The 9724-nt window shown below is 40.2% G+C and overlaps 1 long non-coding RNA gene across 1 annotated transcript; it reads right to left on the bottom strand.

Annotated features, from left to right (window-relative positions):
- Window positions 1–4102: 4102 nt before the first annotated feature.
- LOC105374630 (uncharacterized) lies at window positions 4103–9047 on the bottom strand. Its single transcript, XR_001742581.1, has 3 exons — window positions 8778–9047; window positions 8318–8534; window positions 4103–4213 (listed from the first exon to the last, which is right to left on the bottom strand). It is a non-coding gene; the product is annotated as an uncharacterized LOC105374630 (long non-coding RNA).
- Window positions 9048–9724: the final 677 nt, after the last annotated feature.

The following is a 9724-nucleotide window of genomic DNA, read 5'->3' on the forward strand; positions in this document are numbered from 1 at the left end:
GAATTGCTTGAACCCAGGAGGCGAAGGTTGCAGTGAGCAGAGATTGCACCACTGCACTCCAGCCTGGGCAACAGAGTGAGACTCGGTCTCAAAAATAAAACAAACAAACAAACAACTTTATCACTTTGTGTTAGCTGGGCTAGAACAGTCATTAATGCACCTCTAATTTTTCTTCTTCTTAAAGGTTTCTACATAATCCGATTATCACCATCATGAGGGCCATCATGAGAGTCATCTTTGCTATGAGGGTGATTATGGCCCTCCTATAATGCTTATGTGGGTCAGGCACTAGTCTCAGGATTTACCCAATTAATTCCAGGTATCCCTTCAAACACCCTAAGAGGTATATTCCATGATGAAATTGAGACACAGAAAGACTAAGTTATTTTCCATAGAGTACAATCAGGTAGTGATGGAACCAGGCTTCAACTGTCCAGTTCTAGAAGGCAAGCATATATCCACCATGCAATTCTGCTTTTGATGGGCAGCCTGACCCAAAAATAACATATTCTGACCTTTAGGGAAGCAAAGGATCTGCCACTTGTTGAATATATTATGGACCTGTCTGGGAAAGGTGCATTTCATTTTTGTGCTATAGCAATGAACAAACAATAATTTTTTGAACTGCATCAATTACTAGAACACAAGAGGGCTTTTGTTATACATGGACCACTTCTAAACGTCATCTCATCTACCTAGCACTAAAGCATCAGGCATGGAAATGGTAGAGAATCGTGCTGGGCCTGCTCCTTACAATGACTCCCATCACCCGAAAAACATATGTTTGGCAGCTGAGGGAATGCATTAGTTCAAAGGAAATGGTAAAAGGCTAAGGAAAAGAAGGCAAAAGCGTGTTCTCCAATTATTTACTTGTAACACATGTTAAATGATTGTAATATGTTTGTTTGCATGTTTCGTTACTAGGAACTTTTACCTTATCTCCAAAGAACAGAAGACAGCCAAGTCACAACATGTCTTGACTTTTTCTAAGTAAGTCATTTACAAGCAGTGGGTGTAATGCTGACTCTGACTCTATTAGCAGCAAATCCTGGCTACTTAATACTGGGAAATAGCTTCCAGACACTTAATAACTAGCAGACTGGTTCTACTTAAAATGACTTTGTGAGCAATACTTGTTAACTCTGCTTGTCAGGGCTCTTCAGAATGGGCAGGCCATCCTCCTAGACTGGCAATTAGTCACTCTAGAGAAGGTTTGTCTCATCACTCCAATCCCAAAAAGATGTTCACCAATTTTGAATGAACCGATGTTCTACACTGACCCAAGGAACTACTGAAAAACGATCTTATGCTCTTACGAGAGTTAGGACAGTACAAGAGACAGAATTTGAATTTTGAAGTGAGGATGTAAAGTGTGACTCTGGCACTTGCTAATTGAGTGACTAATTATTTCTTTTCCATGCATTTCAGTTGTCTTATCAAAAAATTTTATAAGATAACCCATACTCTACAGGATGATGTGGGAGTTAAAGTAAACATGTGTTGGAATATTCAGCCATGATAATAACGTACTCAGTAGAGCAGAATCCAGTTGTATTTATTCATGTATTGTTCTCTGCACCGTATCTCCACAATAATGAGATGGAATTGGATCTAGATGAATCTCAATAGTAGGATTTCACAGTAGTCCTTAGAACCAGCATTTGAGGAAGTAAGACTTGTTGCCATGTGACGGAGAAACCTAACCATTCATTAGCCATCTGGAAACCGTTTTCTCTTATTCTAAGTAGATGCACAACTCCCTTCTTTTGGCTGAAATGTGAAAGAAAGTAAGCAGTTAGGTTGGAGTGGCTACCTAAAGTAGGAATGAGACTTGTTGGAAGAGTCACAAAAAGTTGGCAAGATAATCAAAAGCCAGAACAAACAATGTCCTAAGTGAAATGAAAGATCATCTGGATATATACAGAATCATGACCACTGCTGATATCTACTGAACTCTTGGTAGCTTGTTCCTAGTTTGACTTCTTGCATGTAATCCTCACAACTACTCTATGGTAGGCAATCACAATTTTTATCTGTCAGATGAGAAAAATGGAGCACCACAAGATGCAACCATGTGTCCAAGTTTGTATATCCAGTGAGGACCACAGCTCAGTTCTGCCCAGAGAAGGATCCTGGGTCCCAAACCATGATGCTCCCCTGCCCCTCACATCTGGCTAGACTCTGAGCATCCTGAGGACAACGCATATGGCAGATTCAGATTTGCTTCGCTGTAGCTCAGCCACCCAGACTGCCAAATCATAAATATTTCTTAGATGAATCCTGTCTAGGTTGTAACTGTTTGACCCAGGAAATGTCATGATGAAATGGGTGCTTGGGGAGCATTAGTCTGATAGAATGCAGGTTGGTTGGACCAGAACTGTGGGAGTGGAGAGGAGAACTAGAAGGATGTCTTAGGAAACTATTACAGTGCACTGATGTGAGGATAGCTGAGGCAGCCTGCGAGCTCAACTCTCCTTTTCCATTGCATATAACACAACTTGAGGAAGTCATAGGAACAACTATATATTGCACTAGTTTTCACAATCGTTGTCCACTTTCCATACCTTACCTTTTTCTCTGTGGAGACAGAGACTTCTGCCTCACCAGCAAGGTTCCTCAGTGGTAGAAATTTATTCCAGGAGCCATCCAAAATGTCACAGGAAGGTGCCTTTAGTGACTAAAGAAGACCATATCCATATTAAATATCCTACAACTTCAGTGTACATCTGCGTAAGTTACCAAGTTTAGGTTCATTCTTACATAATTAAGGTTTCACTGTGGCTCTCCAAATACGATTACTAGCATTGTTTTCCAGAATCAACAAAAGGATGTGACTATAGTGGTTCTTTCCACTTGAGGCCTTAAAAAATGCATGTCCATTCATTTGTTCAGCATCTATTTCTCATATACCTACTACATACCCAGCATTCTCCTTGATTCTAGAAGCAAAACGAGGTCCTTGCTCTTTAGAAACCTACAAGTTAGAGGGATAAATAAACAAGCAAGGAATAATCTATCCATATCTCTCCTTGTTATAAGTCTCCCAAGTGTTTGTCATTTTACTTAGGAAGAAATCTAAGCTCATCAGCATGGCATAGAAGGTCCACCAAGATCGCACGCCTGCGTCCCTCTGCAGCCCCCTATTCTATCTCCTCCTCTGGAATTCAATTCTCAAGTCATGCTGAAAGGCACATGTTTCCCCAAATGTTTCATATCTCTTCTGAAATGTTCTGTGTTTTTGTCACTCCCAGGACTTGGAGCAGATTCCTCCTCCTTCATTGTTCACCAGCTGCTCATCTTCTGACACTCAGCCTAAATGGCCAACCCTTCTCCAGGAAGACTCTGTAAAGGCCCCGGCACCCATTCCGTGTGACTGCTTCCCCTTTCTCTGCCATAACATTTGTGACAGTGTTTTATAATCACCTCATTTGAGAATGAGGATTTTATTGTTTATTTCTGTGAACTCCCAATGACTTGAACATAATGGTATCTCCTCAATATATTTCTACTGAAGGAAAGAAGGAGGGGAAGGATGAAGAGAGGGAGGGAAGAATGGGGGGAGAGATAGAGAAAGGGAGTAGGTCAGGCCTTTGTCATTAGTTTATACTATGATTAAATCCTCCTCTTCCCTGTGGGGCAATTCTGTCCTTATTCCAGGGACAACCAAACAGGAGGTAATGAGCACCTGACCTCAGTTTATTGTAGTAGCAGCAGAGAGAGACAATCTGGAAGAAATCAGAATGGGAGAATCAACAATAGTTGGTGACAGGTTCAACAATTACATAAAAGGAAACAGTATTTTCCTTGTCTTGTGAATAGAAAAGACAGACAAAAAAGTGGAAGCCATATCTTTTTGTGTCTATTAGTGAGAGTTGGGTGCCTGGATTTTCTCATTTAAATCAAAGTATTCAGAAAAACATAAAACATGCATTAATTTAGAGGTACACAGGGAAGCTTTAACATAAATACGTAAGAATAATCACTGTGTTAAATTAAGTTACAAATGTATCGACCATCCAAAAGCTTTCCTGCCAAGATTCAACCAAGAGTATATTTAATAGAAATCACATCTTGTCTGATGTGGTAAACTCCTTGCCTGTGATTCACTCCTCTTGATGAACAACTCTTGAAGCCAATCTTCAGATCAGGGATAAACTCCAGCTCAAAGTCTGAATTTTCTCTGGAAGTGTATTCAAGGTCTTGAGCAATCCATCTTGTTGTTATCAGATTAGCAATGAAACAAAAGGAAACAAATATGCAAGAAAAATATTAAGGATCTGTTCTATGAGAGTCAAGTCAGGGTTCACGAAGCCACTACGATCACACTCTAGAGCAAGCTTGTCCAACGTGCAGCCCGTGGGCCATACGCGGTCCCGAACAACTTTGAATGCTGCTCAACACAAATTTGTTAACCTTCTTTCAACATTATGAGATTTGGAGGGGGATTTTTTTTCAACTCATCAGCTATCATTAGTGTTAGTGTATTTTATATGTGGCTCAAGACAATTATTCTTCTTCCAATGTGGCCCAGGAAAGCCAAAAGATTGGACACCCCTACCTAGAGATATAAGATAAGAGACCTGGGAAATATGAAAGCATTGGTGGATGGGAGACTTCCTGGAGACTTACTTGAGGAAAAGCTATTGGCTGATCAAGAAGCTGCAATTCACAAAGAAACTGCAACATGCATTTGTTTTCATGCAGCTGGACACGATGGGAATGACTGCTTAAGTAACTGAGACATTTCACAAAGGGGACAGTTTCACCCTAAGGGAAATCTTTTAGATTGTGTTATTGCCAATACTAAGACATTCCAAATAGAATAATTCTAGGATCCCAGAGGATTCCAATTTTGTTTGAGGATTCCTGTTAAAATTCCAGCCCCAGGACACTCCTGAGGCCTTCCTGGGTTAAGATAATGGATGTCTATTCCAAGAGTCTCCTCTTTATCGGGGGATGATTCTTACTAACTTCTGCCACTCTGTAATATCCCCATCCCATTATTAAGTTGGCATATATTTCCTCAGCTTATACTGATTTGCAACTGGGCCTATAACCCTCAGAACGCTTGGGAGTCTCCGAGCCCCCAATTCTCTTACTGTTTTGTCTGGCTTTGTTCTGTTTGCTTCCACTATTTGTAATAACTTGTATTATTAGAGCGCTTTTGAGTTTACAATGCTTTCAAATACATTATCTCATCTGGCCTAAGGATTTGGCACTGTTGCTAGGCATAAGCAACCATCTGGGGATCTCTGATTTACAAGTCTATCATTAACTCATCAACAAACAGTCACCGAGCAGCTACTGTAGGTCAACCACTACACTGGGTTTGGTGTGACCTGTGGAAAGTTGGAGAAGAAAAAACAAAAACAAAAATGGTATTATGATAATATTAGCTTCAACAAATTTTAAATTAAAGAACCAAAACAAACAGCTATGAACACTCAAGTTTCAAAAAATACTAGTGTTGTCTGAAATTTCACCCCATCTTCTGTCATTTCTCTACACAGAAACTACATAGCTTTCTCATAATATCTACTCATTTGGCGGCAGTCAAATGTAAATCAGGCTGGGCACATGGGCTTATGCCTGTAATTCCAGCACTTTGGGAGGTCAAGGTGGGTGGATCACTTGAGGTCAGGAGGTCAAGATCAGCCTTGCCACCATGGTGAAACCCTATCTCTACTAAAAATAAAAAAATAAAAAAATAGTCAGGCGTGGTGGTGTGCACCTGTAGTCCCAGCTACTCAGGAGGCTGAGGCAGGAGAATCTCTTGAACCCAGGAAGCGGAAGCTGCAGCGAGCCAAGATTACACCACTGCACTCCAGCCTGGCAGACAGAGCAAGACTCTGTCTCCAAAAAAAAGAAAAAGTAAATCAATCTTTTTTTTTTAATATATATACTTTTATTATACTTTTAGTTCTAGGGTACATGTGCAGTTTAAATGAAATCTAGATCTCCTAAATTGTACTCACTAAGAAAAGGAATCCATAGATCATTTGACCATAATACTCACTTTAATAACAGTTCTTCAGGAAAAATGATAAATATGAAATGTATGGATTGAGTATAACTTGGGCTCACCAGCTTCAGAAATGTAAAAATGTCGACATGTGCCTTAGAATTAAATGCAGACCACATACACCTAATCTTCCAGTTCCTCAGGAAGGATGCCCTACATGGCTTCAAAGAACACTTTGAGATACTAAAAATTAACATTATTAAGAGTCATTTAGAAATGTTAAATTATAAATCGTCAAAATTCTAAATATTTCTATTAGAAACAACATTCGTTGTTTAATTAGGAGTTTTAAGCTGGATATTCTGTGAAATTTTTAGTTTGGGGCACCCATATAGCCCAGAACAGCAGTAATTTTTCATTCTGAACACAAGGTTATTGACAAGTCTTCAGACAAGGTTGACTTCAAAATCATATAAGATCTTTTAGCCAATTAATTTTCACTATAAAATTCATGAGGAGCTTGTCCAACACTAGTATTTATACCAATAGTTACAAGTCAAAAAGAAATAACTTCTCTAGCATTTTCTTCCAGAAGCCAACTAAAATGCAGGACTCCACCTTTAGACTATTTCAACCTCTATTATATTAAACTACTTGACTAAGAGTATTTAACCCACAGTTTTCATAAATTGCCAACAAATAAAAAGAAAACAACAAAAACAAACGTCAAGGAACAATGTCAGGTGATATTAGAAAATATCCCAGGAAGTAGCAACTAAAATAGAGTCTGGTAGTTAATTTTCAGCTGCTCAGAGTATATTGGTTACTTATAAGAACTAATTTGTAACCACTATTGAAGTGTGCTTTTTATGCTAATGAGGGAAATTATGTTTTTGCTGTGAACTTGGATCACTTGCATGGGAAAATACACTTACTTCCATCTCAAATTAATGGCAGTTTCTCATTCATCCTGGGTTCCTCATCAAAGTGGGTTTCCTGAATTGGAGATAATGCCTCTAGTAGAGTTCATTCTTGTGGATGCTCTACTTAGTAGAGTTGTAAATCCAGGCAGGTATTTTAACTCTGAGAACATTTCAAATGGGCTTCCTACTGGTACCTACACCCATACCTATCCCTATCCTATATGTAATTGTATACCTACACCTATTCTTATATCTACACCTATACCTATATCTCTACCTATACTACACCTGTATCTATAACTATATTTATATTTACACCTACACTTATCCCAAATACACCTGTATCTACACGTATACCTACACTTATAATGATATCTACACATACTCCTACACCTATACCTATACCTATACCCACACCTATACCTCCAACGACACTTTTGTCTATACCTATACCTACACCTATACCTATACCTATACCCACACCTATACCTCCAACGACACTTTTGTCTATACCTATACCTACACCTATACATATACCTCCAACTATGTTTATGTCTATATCTATACCTACACCTATACATCTACCTCCAACTATCCTATGTCTATACCTATACTTACACCTATATATATACCTCTATCTATACCTACACTATACGTAAACCCATTTCTATACCTATACCTGCACCAATATGTATACATACGCCTACACCTGTACATATGCCTATGCGTGTGTCTCTGCCTAAGCCTATCTATACCTATGTGTACTCCTACACCTTTCCCTATGTCTATACTTACATCAACACCTATACCTACACCTATGCTATACCTATATGGATCCTGTACCTACTCCTAGACCTATACTTATACCTACATCTAGACCTATACCTACACCTACCATGACACTTCTACCTATTCCTGTACCTATATCTATACCAACACTGACACTTATATGTATACCTACTATGTCTGTACCTCCAAGTATACATATATTTATACCTACACGTGTACTTAAATGTACACCAATATCTATACCTACACTTATCCTACTTATTTTTATACTTTTACCTATACCTACACCTATGCTTATACGTATACCTACACCTATACTTATACCAATCCTATACCTACTTTTGTACCTATACCTACACCTACACCTATATCTACACATGCACCTATACCTAAACCTGTACCTACAGGCATGCCCATGCCTGTGTCTCTGCCTAAGCTTGTGTATGCCTATGTGTACTCCCACATCTGTACCTATACTTACACCTACACCAATACCTGTATCTATAGGCGTGCCTGTGCCTGTGTTTATGCCTAAGCCTGTCTACGCCTCTGCCTACTCCTGCACCTATACCTATAACTGTATTTCTCTCAAAGGGTTGTTTTGAGGATTGAAAGGCGATTTCAGGTATATGATATCTAATACCTCGTAGTCATTGCCTGAATGTTGGCCCCAAAATGATTTCCTTGATAGACTTAAAATTGATGGATTTCAATCTCTGGTAAGTGGTCATTGCTGGACTTTGTGAAGAATGGGCCATCCAAATGAAGTCTGCAGTGGCTGCCAGTGGCCACAAAACATCCAAGTTCTTGAAAACATCCATTTAAATCAGCTTTGATTTACTTAAGTGAATAATGTGAATCTGCAATAGAATATTCTTGTTTACTTTTTTACTTGGCATTGAGTGGCCTGGCCTCACCCTTATCAGGAACAGGCACCATTCCCCCTCCCAGCCCATGGGTCAGCTTTAGTGGCCAGAGTGAAAAGCAACAAATTGCTATGAAAAAGTCATATAGCCAGAGGCCTGGAGTTCAAAAGGGGCATTTCAACCATGGGCAGCTGGAGAACCCCAACAAGATTGCAAGCAGGGTCAGAGTCCCAGCACCTGGGCACAGGAAGGAGTTGAAGAGAGGTTCCTAGATGTGGAAGAAGTCACAGTCACTGAGAGCAGGCCCATGGATGTGTCCCTTGGGTGGACAGTGAATATGCTGCAGAAATTACAGCAGTCAAACCTTCCCAGGAGCTTGCATATCCACAGAGACTTTTCCAACAACTACTGCATGCTGAGCCTGGGGTGGGATTCTGAAGATACAAAGATAAGTAGAAAATCGTCCAGCCTCTGAACACTTCACCTCCTGCATGGAGAAATATAGAATGTCCCTGTAATATCAGCTGTAGGAGAAGGCCAGAGAAATCTTCTTCCTTAACACCCAGAGATATTGCTTCATCTCAGGGTTGGGGAGATAAATTCATAGAAGAAGTGACATTTGAATCAGAGCCTGAGATGAGGAAGACTTTCTACAGAGGCAGGTGAACAACACTCCTGGAGAGGCACAGCAGAGGCAAAGGTGTGAGGGGCAGGGCTGCAGGCACAGGACACTGACCACTGATGGAGAAGACGGGAAGGTTAGCTTAAAAGTAACAACAGCCGGGCGTGGTGGCTCACGCCTGTAATCCCTGCACTTTGGGAGGCCAAGGCGGGTGGATCACCTGAGGTCAGGAGTACAAGACCAGCCTAGCCCACATGGTGAAACCTTGTCTCTGCTAAAAATACAAAAAATTAGCCTGGCATGGTGGTGGGCATCTGTAATTCCAGCTACTAGGGAGGCTGAGGCAGGAAAATCACTTGAACCTTGGAGGCGGAGGTTGCAGTGAGTCGAGATTGTGCCATTGTACTCCAGCCTGGGCAAGAAGAGCGAAACTCCATCTAAAAAAAAAAAAAAAGTAGCAAGGCAACCTGAGGCATCTAGGGTTTAGACTACCCTAAATCTAACCCCTCCCAGTATTGACACACATTAGTAAATGTGCATCATTTCTAATGAATTTCACTTT

The sequence above is a fragment of the Homo sapiens genome, chromosome 5, assembly GCF_000001405.40.
Source record: "Homo sapiens chromosome 5, GRCh38.p14 Primary Assembly".
NCBI classification, from domain to species: domain Eukaryota; kingdom Metazoa; phylum Chordata; class Mammalia; order Primates; family Hominidae; genus Homo; species Homo sapiens.